The sequence below is a fragment of the Homo sapiens genome, chromosome 3 (genome assembly GCF_000001405.40).
Source record: "Homo sapiens chromosome 3, GRCh38.p14 Primary Assembly".
Classification (NCBI taxonomy): Eukaryota; Metazoa; Chordata; class Mammalia; order Primates; family Hominidae; genus Homo; species Homo sapiens.
In genome coordinates, this window is record NC_000003.12 from 86,873,481 (window position 1) to 86,892,518 (window position 19,038).

The 19,038-nt window shown below is 35.0% G+C and overlaps 2 annotated features.

Moving 5' to 3' along the window:
• Window positions 2,644-3,144: an enhancer, noted in NCBI's record as "H3K27ac hESC enhancer chr3:86925274-86925774 (GRCh37/hg19 assembly coordinates)". NCBI's record gives its function as "activates a minimal SCP1, AML or CMV promoter by ChIP-STARR-seq in naive H9 embryonic stem cells {active_cell/tissue: H9 hESC(naive)}" and the evidence as "EXISTENCE:reporter gene assay evidence [ECO:0000049][PMID:30033119]".
• Window positions 17,403-18,153: an enhancer, noted in NCBI's record as "OCT4-NANOG hESC enhancer chr3:86940033-86940783 (GRCh37/hg19 assembly coordinates)". NCBI's record gives its function as "activates a minimal SCP1, AML or CMV promoter by ChIP-STARR-seq in naive and primed H9 embryonic stem cells {active_cell/tissue: H9 hESC(naive and primed)}" and the evidence as "EXISTENCE:reporter gene assay evidence [ECO:0000049][PMID:30033119]".

Sequence of the window (19,038 nt, forward strand, 5' to 3'; positions counted from 1 at the left end):
ATGTTTATGTGATGAATTTCATTTATTGATTTGCATATGCTGAACCAGACTTGCATCCCAGGGGTGAAGCCGACTTGATAGTGGTGGATAAGCTTTTTAATGTGCTGCTAGATTCAGTTTGCTTGTATTTTATTGAGGATTTTCACATCAATGTTCATCAGGTATATTGGCCTGAAATTTTCTTTTTTTTCTGTGTCTCTGCCAGGTTTTGGTATCAGCATGTTGCTGGCCTCATAGAATAATTTAGAGAGGAATTGCTCTTTTTCTATTGTTTGGAATACTTTCAGAAGGAATGGAACGAGTTCCTCTTTCTACCTCTGGTAGAATTTGGCTGTGAATTTGTCTAGTCCTGGGCTTTTTTTGGTTGGTAGGTGATTAATGACTGCCTCAATTTCAGAACTTGTTATTGGTCTATTCAGGGATTCGGCTTCTTCCTGGTTTAGTCTTGGGAGGGTGTATGTGTCTAGGAATTTATCCATTTCTTCTAGATTTTCTAGTTTATTTGTGTAAAGGTGTTCATAATATTCTCTGAGGGTAGTTTGTATTTCTGTGGGATCAGTGGTGATCTCCCCTTTATCATTTTTATTGTGTCTATTTGATTCTTCTTTTTTCTTGTTTATTAGTCTGGCTAGTAGTCTATCTATTTTGTTAATCTTTTCAAAAAACCAGCTCCTGAATTCATTGATTTTTTGAAGGGTTTTTCATGTCTCTATCTCCTTCAGTTCTGCTCTGATCTTAGTTATTTCTTGTCTTCTGCTAGCTTTTGAATTTTTTTGCTCTTGCTTCTATAGTTCTTTTAATTGTGATGTTAGGTTGTTGATTTTAGATCATTCCCACTTTCTCCTATGGGCATTTAGTGCTATAAATTTCCCTCTAAACCCTGCTTTAGCTGTGTCCCAGAGATTCTGGTACATTGTGTCTGTGTTCTCATTGGTTTCAAAGAACTTATTTATTTCTGTCTTAATTTTGTTATTTACCTGTAGTTGTGTGGTTTTGAGTGAGTTTCCTAATCCTGAGTTCTAATTTGATTGCACTGTGCTCTGAGAGACTATTTGTTGTAATTTCCATTCGTTTGCATTTGCTGAGGAGTGTTTTACTTTCAATGATGTGGTCTATTTTAGAATAAGTGCTATGTGGTTCTAAGAAGAATGTATATTCTGTTGATTTGGGGTAGAGAGGTCTGTAAATGTCTATTAGGTCTGCTTGGTCCAGAGCTGAGTTCAAGTCCTGAATATCCTTGTTAATTATCTGTCTCATCGATTTGTCTAATATTGACATTGGGGTGTTAAAGTCTCCTACTCTTATTGTGTGGGAGTCTAGGTCTCTTTGTAGGTCTCTAATAACTTGCTTTATAAATCTGGGTGCTCCTGTACTGGGTGCATATATATTTAGGATAATTAGCTCTTCTTGTTGCATTGATCCCTTTACCATTATGTAATGCCATTCTTCGTCTTTTTTGATCTTTGTTGCTTTAAAGTCTGTTTTATCAGAGACTAGGTTTGCAACCTCAGCTTTTTTTTCTGCTTCCCATTTTCTTGGTAAATCTTTCTCCATCCCTTTATTTTCAGCCTATTTGTGTCTTTGCATGTGAGATGGGTCTCCTGAATACAGCACAACAATGGGTCTTGACTCTATCCAATTTGCCAGTCTGTGTCTTTTAATTGGGGCATTTACCCTGTTTACATTTAAGGTTAATATTATTATGTACAAATTTGATCCTGTCATTATGATGCTAACTGGTTATTTTGCCCATTAGTTGATGCAGTTTCTTCATGGCATTGATGGTCTTTACATTTTGGTTTGTTTTTGCAGTGGCTGGTACCAGTTTTTCCTTTCCATATTTAGTGTTTCCTTCAGGAGCTCTTGTAAGGCAGGCCTGGTGGTGACAAAATTCCTCAGCATTGTCTGTAAAGGATTTTATTTCTCCTTCACTTATGATGCTTAGTTTGGCGAATATGAAATTCTGGGTTGAAAATTATTTTCCTTAAGAATGTTGAATATCGGCCCCCACTCTCTTCTTACTTGTAGGGTGTCTGCAGAGAGATCTGCTGTTGGTCTAATGGGCTTCCCTTTGTGGGTAACCCGACTTTTCTCTCTGGCTGCCCTTAATATTTTTTCCGTCATTTCAACCTTGGTGAACCTGATGACTATGTGTCTTGGAGTTTCTCTTCTCAAGGAGTATCTTTGTGGTTTTCTCTGTATTTCCTGAATTTGAATGTTGGCCTGTTTTGCTAGGTTGGGGAAGTTCTTCTGGATAATATCCTAAAGTGTGTTTCCAAACTTGGTTCCATTCTCCCCATCACTTTCAGGTACACCAATCAAACATAGGTTTGGTCTTTTCACATAGTCCCTTATTTCTTGGAGGCTTTGTTCATTCCTTTTTATTCTTTTTTACCTAATCTTGTCTTCACACTTTATTTCATTAAGTTGATCTTCAATCTCTGATACCCTTTCTTCTGCTTGATCAATTTGGCTATTGATACTTGTGTATCCCTCACGAAGGTCTTATGCTGTGTTTTTCAGCTCCATCAGATCATTTATGTTCTTCTCTACATTGGTTATGCTAGTTAGCAATTCCTCTAACCTTTTATCAAGGTTCTTAGCTTCCTTGCATTGGGTTAGAACATGCTCCTTTAGCTCAGAAAAGTTTGTTATTACCTACCTTCTGAAGCCTACTACTGTCAATTCGTCAAACGCATTCTCCATCAGTTTTTTCCCTTGGTGGCAAGGAATTGTGATCCTTTGGAGCAGAAGAGGCTTTCTGTTTTTTGGAATTTTCGGTCTTTTTTCACTGTTTTTTTCTCAATTTTGTGGATGTATCTACCTTTGGTCTTTGATGTTGGTGACCTTAGTATGGAGTTTTTGTGGGGTCATCCTTTTTGTTGATTTTGATGCTATTGCTTTCTATTGGTTAGTTTTCCTTCTAACAGTCAGGCCCCTCTTCTGCAGGTTTGCTAGAGTTTGCTAAGGCATCCACTCCAGATCCTCTTTGCCTGGGTATCACCAGCAGAGGCTGTAGAACAGCAAAGATTGCTGCCTGCTCCTTCCTCTGGAAACTTTGTCCCAGAGGGGCACCTGCCAGATGCCAGCCGGAGCTCTCCTGTATGAGGTGTCTGTCAACCTCTGCTGGGAGGTGTCTCCCTGTCAGGAGACATGGGGTCAGGGACCCACCTGAGAAGGCAGAATGTCCCTTAGCAGAGCTTGAGCCGAGCATTGTGCTGGGAGATCCACTGCTCTCTTCAGAGCCAGCAGGCAGGAACATTTAAGTCTGCTGAAGCTGAGCCCACAGCCGCCCCTTTCCCCAGGTGCTCTGTCTTTGAGAAATGGGAGTTTTATCTATAAGCCCCTGACTGGGGCTGCCGCCTTTCTTTCAGAGATTCCCTACCCAGAGAGGAGGAATCTAGAGAGGCAGTCTGGCTACAGAGGCTTTGCCCAGCTCTGGTAGGCTCCGCCCAATCCAAACTTCCAGGTGGCTTTGTTTACACTGAGCTAGAAATGCAGAAATCACCTGCCTTCTGCATTGTTCTCCCTGGGAGCTGCAGACAGGAGCTGTTCCTATTTGGCCATCTTGCCTGGGAATCCTCATGTTGTTTCTTAAAGGAGAAGACCTAGTAATAAAAACAGAAATGCCTTTTAAATATTTTAACAATGATGGTTGATAGAAAAGGTAAGTTATTGAGAAATGTTTTTATATTTTAATTTTAAAAATCATTATTGTTGTAATCAATATAGAATTGTATATTTTACAGCAAAATGTTAATGCACATCAGTGTTATTAAAACTCATTTGTAGTACAGCAAACCAACATGGCACATGTATACCTATGTTTCAAACCTGCATGTTGTGCACATATACCCTAGAACTTAAAGTATAATAATAAAAGTAAAATAAAATAAAAATAAAAATAAAAAATCTTGAAATAGAAAAACAAAAACGAAAAACTCATTTGTACTTCTCCAAAAATAACTTTCTATTTGTCTTGAAGAGTATTTAACTTTATGGTATCTGATTTTTAACCCATCTCAAATTTAATATTAAATCTTGGAAATGACATTCGACTATATTTTTATAGTTCTAAAGTATATTAATGATTAACATTGCCTTATTTTGATATATTTTTTCATGATTATATTTACATACAAAATTCTAAAGCTACTTAAAACTACAAAAATATGTTTATTTCTTCAAATACATGGATTCATTTCTCTTCAAATACATTAAATTAATAAACAATAAGCAATCTCAAACTTTTTAAACATTTGTGACTGAGCCTAAATAAACATAGTTTTGTGTTTATGTTTTCTTTGGTAAATGAATAAAATAATGCCTTCACAAAGTTATAAATTCAAATACTACAAAAGGGATCATAATGGAAAATGCTACCTTCCCACACCAATAAGAACAACTAATCTTTATATAGTATAGTGTTTCCTATGGACCAGATATTAGTCTAAGTCTTCTGTGTGTAGACATATGTACATTAATTTTCACCACATCCTCATGTGGCAGGTAGTATTGTTTTCATGTTACAGATGATGAAACTGAAGCAAAAAGTATTAGGTAACTTGTCCAAAGTTGCATGGTTAGTAAGGGTCAGGGTCAGAATTTATAATCAGTATTTTTACTCCAGAGGCCATGGTCTTAGTCACTACTCTGTTCTCTTTCTCTCTGAGCATTATATTCCTGATGTGACTAGTGAATTTCTTCAACAGAAAATAATCACTGTATCCTTCATAAATCAGATGGGTAAAAAAAATATGGATATTTTTGGCCACGTTTTTTATTAGAGAACAAGTCAGTGGAAGGTCATGCTATAAAGGATGGATGTGTGTCTGCGCATTTGTCTGCATTTCACTGTAATAAGATTTGTTTGCTCATGGTAGTTACCTTTCTCTTTATGTTAATTATTCTAACAAAAGTAAAGGGGATTAAAACATTAAACGGTCACCAAATTCTCTTGCACGGCCCTTTCAAATGTGTCTCTCAGGGCTTGGATTAAGACCTTCTCCTGCTCTGCTGTGACAATATTCTTCAAGACAGATTTCACAGTAAGGAGAAGAAGCATTTAAAAACTGAGGCATGGTGGATATTTGTGTGTGGAGAAAGGGAAGGAATAAAAGGAGACAGATCCAGGGGAACAAGGAGCAAAACATTGCAGTGGTTGTTTAAATAATCTGAATTCCACTAATAACCAAGCATTGTAGAAATAAAATGCTTTAGAATGTGGACTTGGCATTGATTTATTTGTTAACTAACAAGTTGAACATAGCTTTCACATGGGGGCCCTTTCAATTTCCCTCCTAATTTAAATTGAAGCTGTGACACATGGTTCAGTTCCAACAAATGTGACTTTCCCCCAGCCCTCAGAATCTAAGCAATGCATCTCTCAGTTTAAAAAGAAGAAAAGTAATAATAAAATCTTTATAAGATATTATAATCTATTTGCTCCTTTGTTGAGGAATAGTGACAGTCATTTTACAGATTGGATACCGATTAGAAAATTTTTCAAATTTGCTTTGCATTCAGTTTCAGACCTGGACCACAGCTATCGATTATTAATTTGATTGGCGTGCACTTCATCTGATATAAATCTAAAATGTTGATTTAGACTGCATTTTGAATATCTCAATACATCTCTAAAATATGGAAACTCACCTAATAGCTAAACACTGCCTATTGAGGTGGGCTAAAATGTATATTTCTATTTAAGCTCATTTTTCTTATTAACATAGGAACCAGGGCTGTGTGAGTGTTGTGCTAGTAAAATCAAGTCAACCGATAGTCATTTCATACATTGTAGGCATTGTAGGGAATACTAGAGGAAAAAAAAAAAAAAGACACCTGCACAATCTAATTAGAAAGGCAAGATAAATGTTCCTCTAAATTTTAAGACAATACATTATAAATTAATAGATTGTTTTATACAAATATAAGTACTACTGGAAATTGAATGTTTGAAATACCTGTGTTTTTTTTTTTTTAATTTAGCCTGAGTTTCGCTTCCCAAGTTCAAGCGATTCTCCCGAATAGCTGGGACTACAGGTGTGCGCCACAATGCCTGGCTAACTTTTGTATTTTTAGTAGAGAAGGGGTTTCACCAGGTTGGCCAGGCTGGTCTCAAACTCCTGACAGGTGATCCTCCTGCTTCGGCCTCCCAAAGTGCTGGGATTACAAGAGTGAGCCACCATGCCTGGCCTTGAAATATCTCTGAGGTTGAATGATTAATAAAGTTTTTGTGAAGAAAATTGTTCTAAAAAATTGCATATGGTATTATGTTGCAGAAAAATAAGGAAGAGACTACAAGGGTGCAGTGGAAAATGTAGCTCTGGGATAGTGGAAGAAGAAAGCAAGGGAGAAGGGGCAATGACAGAAGTTAACTTACATTGTAGTATGATACAAAGCATTGCTAATGACGGAAGGTTTGTTTCCAGCCTCCCACTCTGCCCCAATTCATATGTTGGAGCTTAATTCCCGATGCCATAGTATTTGGAGATAGGGCTTTTGGGGGTGATTAGGTCATGAGGGTGGAGTCCTCATGGTGAAATTAGTGCTCTTATAAAAAGAGACACAAGAGAGTTTGCTTCCTCTCCCTGCTCTCCACCAGGTGAGGCTACACGGAACGGGGAGCTGGCTACAAATCAAGAAGCGGGCCCTCACCAGACACTGCATCTGCTGCCACCTTGATCTTCAACTTCCCAGCTTCTAGACTGTGAGAAATACATATGTGTTGTTTAAACTGCACCATTTATGGTAGTTTACTATGGAAGCCAAAACTAAGATAAATATGTTGAGTCACCCGTCGATGATGTGGACTGGCTGATGGTGCTAAGAATCTACCTCTCAAAAAGCTTTTACTCCTAACCTCCCAAGTAAAGACATGCTATTTTCAAGTTCTTTGTTTGGGTATTTCAGGGAAGATTACTCTCTTTACTGCCTTAGAGATTCCCCTTTTTCAGATCACCAGCGGCATCATGTTTTTCCTACTCTGCTATACTTCTGAGCCTCTCACTGTTTGATGGGCGGACCCAGTCCATGAGACTGCCCTTGTCTTAGGCTGGACAGAGCCATGCTTTCCATGTGACAGTGTATCATGTAGACCAAGCAGTATGTCGACACTTACCTGAGGTTCAGGTGTTTCCATGGAAGCTAGGGCCACTCATTCAGGTTACATGCTTAAGGACAACAGGTGCAGTCTCTTGATATGTAGTCTTATTACGATCTTCCTACCACAATCTCATCCCCTATCCAAGTCCCCTTATCTCTCACGGACCACACAACTTTAATTCTGCTTCCCAGACAACTATGAGGAAAAGTTTAAGCTGTTAAAAAAAAGGAGTTGAGCTGCTGTATCTTTGTATTGAAATATAAACAATTCAAAACTCAAACAGGAAAAAAAAGTTTTTTCTTTATATTTTGTAATTGATTAATTCTGGGAAGGGAGCAAGCATTATTCAGTGTAAAAGGAGATGTTCCACCTGTGCCTCCAATATTTCTCTACTTGTGGCTTTTGTGATCTGTAAATCCCATCCCTCCTAGATAAGCCATAACTCTTTTGCTGCCCCATCTCCAAGATCCTAGAAGAAACTAATCTGATACAATTGTAAACTTAAATGTATATGTCCTTGGAGTACAGTGTAACCCAGATATAAAATATCCTTATGATTTTCTAAACTCCAAAATACCACCCAGAGCAAGACATAAATAATGAAATTTAAGTGAGAATATTGCTCAGATATTTATCTTGAGTGGTTACCTGGGCGCGTGCTCTCTCTCTCTCTCATTGTTTTAAGTATTTTTTTTTTCTGGTTGCATAATACAGAGTCATGTATTAACAAAATGTCAAATTGCCACAGGTTTTGGAATCTTGTAGTAGCTTGTTGGCAAAGAGATACAGCAGAGAGGCTACTGTGTTTTCATTGTAAAAAGGATATCTGAAGAGGGAATATTAACCAAAAGGGAAATATAATAACAGTGTGGGAATAAAAGAAATTTTTGTTATCTTCCCTTAAAAATAATTGTTATTATGTTGAATTATAAGATATCTTTCACCGTAGCTTTGTGGGTGTTATCACAGGAGAGGGAAAAGGCTTAATAGCAAGTAAACAAAATTTATATTTTTAGGAGAGCATTTATTTAGATCACACCACATATTGGCATATAAACCAGTTCCTACCAAATGAGTCCATTGAGATGACATACTTATTTGTTGAAATCAGTGTTGTTTTGAAAATCAATGTTGCATTTACAGTCCACTTAAAAAGTAGAATAATTTATTAGTCCTACTTTTATACCCTAAACAAACACTTAAAAAAACAACACTTAAACACTTAAAAAAATCCATAGTATTAATTCTATTTATATGTTAGTCTACTTTAAGAATGTGCACAAATGGGAGGAAAAACCAATGGTAGAGACAGGGCAATGAAACCCAAGTCTACCCCTCACTTTATTACACTAGAGCTTCAACAAAATTGTATGAGCAATTCTCATTTTTCAGAAATGTTTGACAATCTTTTTGTTTGTTTGTTTTGTTTTTGGACACAGGGTCTCGCTCTGTTACCCAGGCTGGAGCGCAGTGGCGTGATTACAGCTCACTGCAGCCACAATTTCCTGGACTTAAGTCCTCAGCCTCCTGAATAGCTGGGACTACAGGCATGCACCACCACGCTTGGCTATTGTTTTTTTTTATTTTTTTGTAGAGATGGTGTATTAGTCCAATCTTGTATTTCTATAAAGAAATACCTGAGGCTGTGTAATTTATAGATAAAAAAGTTTTAATTGGCTCATGGTTCTGCAGGCTATACAGGAAACATAGCAGCTTCTGCTTTTGGGGAGGCCTCAAGCAGCTTCCAATCATGGCAGAAAGCAAAGGGAGAATGAGTCATCTCACATGGCCAAAGCAGGAGGAAAAGAGAGGGGCAGGCACTGCGCACTTTTAAACAATCAGATCTCATGAGAACTCACTATTGATGACAGCACCAAGGGGATGGGTGTTAAACCATAAGAAACTGCTCCCATGACCCAATCACCTCTCACCAAGCCCCACTTCCAACATCGGGAATTACAGTTTTACATAAGATTTGGATCGGGACACAGATCCAAACCATAGTAGACAGGAACTCACTGTGTTAAACAGGCTGGTCCTGAAATCTTGGGCTTAAGCAATCCTCCCATCTCAGCCTCCCAAAGCATTCTCCAAAAGTGTATATGTTGAAGTCTTAAACCCCAATCCCTCAGAATATGACTGAATTTGAAGATAGGGCCATACAAAAAGTGACTAAGTTAAGATGAGACAGGTTGAGTCCAAATCCAATATGATTTGTGTCTGTAGAAAGAGGAAATCTGGACACATGCAAGAAACACCAGGGATGCATGTGCACAGAGGAATGACCATGTGAGCACATAGTGGAGGGCAACCAACTACAAGCCAAGGAGAGAGACCTCAGAAGCAACCAATCCCCCTGACACCTTGATCTTGGACTTCTCAGCCTGTAGAACTGTGAAAAAATAAATTTTTGTTGTTTAAGACACTCAGTCTTGGTACTTTTTTATGGCAGCCCAAGTAAACTAATATGTATGCATATGCAGACATAGCAAATCCTTATATAGGTATAAATTCATTGCTATGTCATAGTTGTTAGAAACATGCATCAGAAAATGTTCTACAACTTTACATGCATTATTTCATTTAATCCTCAAAATATAGCAACAATGAGTTAGGTGCTATTTTAATGTCCATTTTACAAAGAAGAAATTGAGTCACAGGAGGTTTTAATAACTAATGTCTCACAGTCAGTCCAAAATCAGAGTTCAAACTCATAACCACTATTCTCCAAAAGAAACTTTTAAAATTAAAAAAATAAACAAATAAATAAAAATTTAGTTTTGTAGGCATGTAATGCAAATTGTACACCAATAAACCAAAAGCATGAAGCCCCAAAACTTTTGTTAAAAACAGGGAAAATTCAAGTGACTTTAAACCTAATTTAGGCATACGTGAGTGCATGTTACCAGATGTATTTTTATAAGAACATTTCAATGTTCATTTTCATGAGGAATGTGGATGACATGCAATTTTTAAAGCACTAAGAGTTGTTTTTAATGCAGCCTAGCCTATAATTTTAGAGTCCCTTAGCACATTAGTTTCAAGTATCCATTGGGCAATTCCATGATCACAGACACAAAGTAGATGTAACTCAGAAGAAAATGAAAGCTAATAACTCCCTTGTCTGGTCCGTGGCTAAAATGCTCATATTTTCAACTTGAAAAGTATTTCATTTTGCCCACATCATTTTGCGTAAAGATTTCAATAGGTCAAATATCTAGATTATATTGTTTTAACAGAAACACAATTTGATAATTTGAAATGTGTTATTAAGTATTGATAGGAGAGGCCCCCAGGGTATATAAGAATTTAGAATGTTTAGCATCAATTACTTCTAAATAATTATATCTAATAAGATAGAAATAGCATTTGAAGTTATGAAAAATAGTTATTACCACATGCCAGTTACTTTCCTAGATTATAAATGTAGAAATCAACAAGATAAAATCATTTCCTGTATTTGTCATAAATATGAGAAAAAGCCATCTCAAATTCATTTAATATTATGACTTTTCCTTGAAATGACTTTTTTGATGAAGCAGAAGGAAATGTTACCTGATGACCCAATAAATATAATCATAAATTGTAATTATTTAATTCTGTGAGTGGCAGTATTTTCTCTTATTTATACAATCTTATTCTTTGTGTGTCTTAAAATCTAAAAAATTGTACTTAGCACTTAATTATTTTCTCTAGCTATAACACTAATACATAACCATCATGGAAAATTCCCACATATTCTCCCTCCACCGCTGAAGATTAGTATCAGATATTGATATATTGCATTTCAGTTTCATATTTGTATACATGAGTATGTGCTCTCAAAGTTTGCTGCATGTATTCATTTATTCTTTTGTTTAGTTACTATAGTCAATGTGCATGGATAACAATTCTGTTTCAGAGCAACGGAAGGCAGAAACCATAAACTCTGTATTCAGAGATTTTAAAAAAATGTCTATTGATGGAGAGATCAGGAATCCAGATTTGGACATGCTAAGTTTGAGATGTGTATGAAACCCTCAAATGGAAATATGTTAAGCAGGGAGCCAGATATTGAGTTGTGCAGTTCAGAACAGAAGTCTTGTCCAGCTTTACTACATTTGGGAGTCAAAGGTATTTAAGACCATGCGGCCACATAAAGCAGAAAGACATCAGTGTGGCTGGAAAACAGAAGACACCAGGGATGAGCCCTGAAGCACTTCAATAATAAAAGCATGAAAAGAAAAGGAAGGGCCAGCAAATCTGACAGAGAAGAAGCAACTAGTGAGAGAGGAGAAAAAGAGAGTGAGTTTGGAAAACCAAGTAAAAAATTTTTTTCTAAATTGTACGACTAGAAGAGATAGTTTCAGCTTCGTTAAATAGTGCTGATAGACCAAGTGAGGCGACGAGTGGGAACAGACTGTTGGATTTAAAATGAGGAGGACAGTTTCTCTATCCACTTGTAGATGGATGGGCATTTGGTTTGGTTCCACATTTTTGCAATTGTGAATTGTGCTGCTATACACATGCGTGTGCAAGTATCTTTTTCGTATAATGACTTCTTTTCCTCTGGGTAGATACCCAGTAGGGGGATTGCTGGATCAAGTGGTAGTTCCACTTTTAGTTATTTAAGGAATCTCCAAACTGTTTTCCATAGTGATTGTACTAGTTTACATTCCCACCAGCAGTGTAGAAGTGTTCTCTGTTCACTGAATGCATGATGCACCAAAATCTCAAAATCACCACTAAAGAACTTACTCATATAGCAAAACACAACCTGTTCTCCAATAATCTATGGAAATAAAAAAAAACTAATAAATATAAATAAATAAATACAATGGGGAGGACATTGTAATCTTGATAAAAGCAGCTTCTATGGAGTATTGGAAAAGAAAAACCAACTGGAGTGGAATTAAGAAAAAAGGGGATAAGAACTGGAGAGTGTACAAGCAAGTCTTTCCTGGAGTTTTGAATGAGGAAACTAAAGAAATAAAAGCAAATGGTGTGTCAGAAGGAGGTAAGAAATTGAGCCAAAATAATGATTTTTTTCTTTTAAAATGAGAAAAATAATATCTGGCCTAAATGCTAATTGAAATGATCCAAAGGGGAATAAAAACTTGATGATGTAAGAAAAGGGAGAGAACTGTGATGCCGATGAGAAGAAAGGAGAATGGGGCATCCTGTCATCAGTACATGAGGAGTTGAACTGTAATGATATGCAAGGGTGCAGAGCATGTGAGGGCAGGCAAGGATAGGTAGCTGGTCATGATTAGTGACAGCCTGAAATAATCCCTTAGATGTGAATCCACTAGAGATAGGATAGGATAGGTTCAGAAAGATCAAGGCTAATAATCATGAATTTAAAGTGAGAACAATCAAGGGGCTTGTTTTCTCCACTAAGGTTTAGCTGATTAAGTGCAAAATAAATGTAGGATAAATTTTGAATTTAGATAGTATTGGCTAGTTTATCAAGTGTGCAAGAAAGTAAAATGAAGATTTTTAACACGAAGTCATAAGCCTCTTTCCTGTATTGTTGAATATCTTTAAACTTATTATTTTAAAGTTAATAAATAAATATGAACAAAATATATTGAAGTATTTTCCAATTGTTGGAATATTTGTTTTCACTCATTATATATAATATTTCAATAATTATTGAATTAAGAGCCAAAATTGAAAATCAATTGAAAAAAAATCAAAAAAATAATAAATTACAAAGAGCTTCCAAAAGAATAACTCTCTTAATTATGATCTATTGCTATATAGCAGTTCATTCTCAACATTCAGTTCGTTTAAGAAACAACAGACGTTAATTTGTTTACACTGCTACAGTTTAGGAAGGACCTGTTGGATATAGTTTATTTTGTACATGAACGTGCATTAGCTAAAGTAACCTGGCTAAAAAAATTACTTCCATAATGGTGTCACTCACATGGCTGTTGGTGCTGGTTGCTGATTGTGAGTAAAGCCGGAGATATTTGAAAGATCAAAATATATCTTAGAAATCAATATTTCTTGTGGCACATATACTCCATGGAATACTATACAGCCATAGAAAAGAATGAATTTATGTCCTTTGCAGGGACATGGATGAAGCTGGAAACCATCATTCTCAGCAAAATAACACAGAAACAGAAAACCAAACCCACATATTCTCCCTCATAGGTGGGAGATGAACAATAACACATGGACACAGGGAGGGGAACATCACACACTGGGGCCTGTCGGAGGGTGGGGGGCAAGGGGAGGTAGAGCATTAGGACAAATACCTAATGCATGGTGGGCTTAAAACCTAGATGACGGGTTAATGGGTGCAGCAAACCACCATGACACATGTATACCTATGCAACAAATCTGCACATGTATCCCAGAAATTAAAGAATAATAAAGAAAGAAAGAAAGAAATCAATATTTCTATGATGGATATAAACTTAGATTAGATTGGGAGAATTTTTATATATTTCATTATTTTTCACCCAAATTTTGTTGAAACTTATGAATTAAACTTTTTTAATAATTAAGTTTTGCTTAAAGTTTTTTGAAATTACTTTTCTATTTCTTTTAAGTTTACATTGTTCTTTGGCCAATTGATGAAAAGTTTTATTTAATTTAGTTTCATTCTACTTTGTTAATCTATAATTTTTTTGGCATTTATCAGTCTCAATTTTTGTATTTATTTATTTATTTTTTGAAATCAATAGGTACTTTCATGAGGGTATATGTGAAACATAGTCGGGACATTTTATAGACAATGAAACCAAAGCCCCCCAACAAAAGGTGGGCGAAGGATATGAACAGACACTTCTCAAAAGAAGACATTTATGCAGCCCACAAACATGAAAAAATCTCATCATCACTGTTCTTTAGAGAAATGCAAATCAAAACCACGATGAGATACCATCTCATGCCAATCAGAATGGCGATCATTAAAAAGTTAGGAAACAACAGATGCTGGAGAGGATGTGGAGAAATAGGAATGCTTTTACACTGTTGGTGGGAGTGTAAATTATTTCAACTATTGTGGAAGACAGTGTGGTGATTCCTCAGGGATCTAGAACTAGAAATACAATTTGACCCAGCAATCCCATTACTGAGCATATACCCAAATGTTAATCTATAATTTTTAAATTTAAGTTTTAAATAATTTTTAATTATTAAAATGTTTAAAACTATGCTTGTGCCTCTGGATATATTTTTGGACACACCTTAAATCACACCTAAGGTGTGTCCTAGTTGTTCACTTTTGCTATTAACTTCTATTTTGTTGATTTAAAAAATGAGAACTTTAAAATTTCTTCTTTGAGAAATACATTGAGGTTTTCTTTGTGACATAATCTAAATTCACTTTTTTTGATGAATTTTTAATGAACTCTTAAATAGTTCTTATTCTAAGTTTTAGGTTGTTAGGTTCAATACATGCCTTTAATTTAACCTAGTGATTCATCACTCAAGCATTTTCTTTTATGATATTATGCCAGTTACTTGATTGGCTACAGTTTTTAATGTGTAACAAAAATATCATGCCAGATTTATGACTGAGAACTGATGTATATAGCATTAAGGAAAAAAATGTTTATGACACTTGTTAAAGATGGTAAGGAAGAATCTAGGGGAATACAAGGGATTACTACAGTGGGGTTTTACAGTAGGGGAAACAAATTAGGCTCAATTCTGAATACCACATAGGGATTTACAGCTAAGAAGTAGGGTGAAAAGATTGGTGGATGGAAAATTACTAAGAGAGTAAGGTAATTCTCTGCTAAACTTACCTGCCAAGATTCTTGCTAAAGGTAATCAGACATCATGAAGGGGATGGTAGAAAGGAGGAAATTGTCCAGATATTAAGGTTGATTAGACTCTACAAGAACTAAGACCAAAGCCCAAGTTTGAGCTACTTGAGTGGAGGGCTTAGGGGAACTTGACTGAAGTTTGGCCAGGTACAGTATCTTTGACAACAGCATCTCATTGGTAGAAATGTAATATTTTCAGTTAAAGTAATGTCCTGTCACTATACAATTAATTGTATTTGCCAAAATGTAATCTGAATAATTGATTCACTGTAAAGCCATACAAACAACCCATAAGGCCATTCTACGATTTCAACCCAAAAGACCATTCTAAGATTTTCCTGTAAGTATAATGTTGACAAAGTATTAGCCTCTTACATTTAGAATCACTCTGTGATCTAATTCTAAATTATATATTAAGTTACTAGGTATTAAAAGTTATGTTGCTGAATCCAATTTATCTCTTCCTAATACTTAAAAAAATATTAAAATTTATAAAACCTAAAAAGAAGTTTCCATATTATTCACAGGATGTCTCTTCCTACACTCGCATCTTTAACAATGTAAGTCTTCCCATAAGAAAATGCATCTTATATATTCATGTTTTATGACCTCATCAATTGTAATCATTTTATCCACCTGGATGAAGCATGTAAATAACTATATTAATCATGTTAACAGCATTGCAGTCTGAGGGTACTTACTGAAATCACATATCCTCGCTTTTGACTTTTCTTTTTTTGCAGAATTGATCTCATGATTTATTTTACACTGCTATCATATGTTTCATTGACATATATGATTTAATGCAGTTAATATTTCAGCACAGCAATAATATTTCCTAAGGTTCTTATGGGTAAGTTAAAAAGTGTTCATGAGATCTCCATATGCAATGTAACAAACTTACAACAATATTTGACTTTCATCATTTGCATACTAAGAAAATGACTTATAACTTATTTCTATGTAACAGAGTATTTTCTCTGTGAACTTCATTAACATGGGTATTTTTCCATCTTCTTGATTTGGAATTACACTTCAAATCATCACATGGACAAATTCAGTGTGTAATATAAATAAATAATATATTTTTGCACACAAGGTTGACTAATAGCTAATTATTCTTACAGACAAGCCTCTGTAGTAGAATTTGTGAGGTTTGTAGGTGTATTATAATGCCATTCCAACAAATGTACCTCTGTAACAAGAGAATGAGCCTAGATTTTAGAGATGGTTTGCTGGGGTTCCAGAACTATTTGAAAAGTATAGGATACTTTGATTTTTTTTCTATGAAATATGTTCATATTTCAAGTTTACTATTACACTTTTATTCATAATTTTACTTCTCTTTTATTCTGACTCTAAATATAATTTTCATCTTCAATCTTGAGCAGAAAATTTTTTCCTCAAAAAGTAACTAAGTACTATATCAGAGTGAATTGTCTGTATTGCCATCTATAGGAAAATAATGCACTACAGTTAATTTCCCTAAGTAAATAAGTCATATAGAAAATATACATTTTATAAAATCCATATGGAATATTTTAATGTTATCCTTACATTCCTTTCAAAAGTATCTACACATCTTGAAGGAGAATAAACACATGCACACACATACACACACACGCAGTGTCTCAGCAAATATATGTCAGTATGTACAGTGTTATGAACTAGACCTGTGATATTAGATCTCGAATAAAATTCTGTGTTCTCCATTTACTACCTGTTCATCCTTTTGTAAGCTACTCAGTCTAAGTTTTGAAATTCTTATCTGTAAAATGAGATTTTACTTAGGACTGTTGTGAAGATTTAGAGTGATCATGTACCTAAAGGGTAGTATATTCCTGGTACATATTAAGCACTGACCATATGTTGACTACTATCTTTTTTGTGGTATCTTTTTCGTATCAATATAATTTTAAATGACAGATAATAATATGCATAAATGTATGTATGTCTGTTAAAAAGCAGTTTAAGCTGGCATATGATGGATTTCACAAGGAAATCTATACAGGCTCAAAGACTCAGAAGGAAGAAAGAATATTTAATTAATGTTTTTTGAAAAGATTCCATGAATGAATAACACCCTTCCCAGTCACTGACACAGATATCTATAACATGTTATTAATTTACAAGTTTTTATTTTTTATTGCTATAAATTATGTAAACAATTGTCTGGATGACACAGATGCATTATTATTCAACAATAATAGAATTAGTACATGTTTTTGAATAAAAAACAGATCTAATTAATGTATATGAAGTTGATAATTTATTCTTTATTAGATTTGAGTTCTTCTAGTGTGTTTGAGAAGCAAAGTACAATTGTTTTTAAAAGTCGCAGGTTAAAAAGTATGTGAAATACTTTTCAGAAAATATTTCAATTGGTTGCTGCACAGATAATAACCTACAGCATGTGGTCGTGAATTAAATGCAAAATAACATCAGGAGCCCTGCTTCAAGAAATAATTAGGCTTTCTGCAGAGTCATTCAGTAAAATTACATTATTGTGTTCAACTGAGAGGAGCTGTGTAGAATTGTATTTGTAAAATATAATTGCAGGGACAGCTGGCCTGAAAAAAGAAGAATCTTAATAATATATGTTGCTGAGATGGTTGTTTACTCCCCATTATGAAAGTGGTTGATAAGAAGAACAGTTACTGTTGCATGGGAAAGAGAAATTAATTCAGGAAAATAATGATGCAGCTTCTCATGTCATTTAACTGAATTTTAAAGTGAAATGTATTGTTAGGCATGCAAGCAGCATGCCTGGAGAATTTGTGCTCCTTGCTCCTACTCCCAAAGCCTCAAATCTGCTATGTGGCCTTTCCCAGTTGGCTTCTTTTATTTTCTTAACTTCTCCCTTGTAATGTAAACATGGGAAAGAGAAAGTGGTAGAAGAACAAAGAATAAGCATACAAAGTAGCTCCACTCCTTCTGCATAGAGCTTTAATAAGGAAATGGTGCCACACTGAGACTATATGAATAGATTGATAATAGTGTGTTCATTTAAACCAAATAAGGAACCACTATATATTGTGCCACTTTAAAGTTAATTTCTCTTTTACTTAAAGGTCTTCTGGATTTTTTTCCACTCTTTGTCAAATAGTACAATTAGTTGTATCAACATAACCTTTCAATGGTGTTATAAACTCACATGTGCTAAAATAAATGTCTTAACACCCTCATGATCATGACTTATACAGATTATCACACAAAATATGGGTGCTAGTATTTCATATACAATTCAGTCATGTAAATTAAACATAAATCAAGGGAAGACAAGGAAAAATGTTTAGCTGATTATTAACTCTGGAAAGAACCACATTTTAATGTTGAATGATTATTTAAATGCAGGTTAGTTTTTAAGTGGCTTTTCATTATTCAAATGAATATTAAGTAAATATTTGTTATAATCATCCCGCAAAACAAAAACATTGATAAATGAATATATTTATCATTTCCTGGAAACTGTAAGTTTCTATTTTTAGACAATGTCAGAATAATGTTCTCTTTAAAATTATTGGGATGACCTGTATTTTCATTTGTAAAAGCAAAGTTTGTAATTTACAGGCAAAATATCTGAAGGCCAAGTTTTACTTATTCAACAAATATATATTAAGGCTACTATGTGCCAGTCACTATTCTATACAGTAAACAAAATAGAGAAACTACTTTCAGGGAAGGGATATGCAAAAGTGAAGGTGGACATTACTCATTTAATGTCATGTCAATAGTAATAAATACAGTGAAGAGACAAAAAGCGGAGTAAGGGTATCAATGAAGGATGTGCTATTTTAAGTCGGTTAGTCAGGGAAGGCCTTTCTGAGGCGGTGACATTTGAGCAGAGTCCAGTCTCTTTATTTATTTATTTATTTATTTATTTATTTATTTACTTATTGAGAATCCTTTAATATTTTTATCATTCTGAAATTGAGGACAAACAACACTACTTGAAAACTGTAGGATATAATTGAAGCAATCCTGTTCTATTTATCACAGGAAACCAAATCAGGTCTCTCAGCTATGCACAGCTGAGGTTGACAGAAATGCTTTTATTGGCTTCATTTGTGAAGAAAACATGGATTTAAGTAAATCAGTAGGCGATATTTAGAGCCGTTTTTAATTTGTAGTATCTCATGGTCTTATGGGTCAAGAATTGAGCCA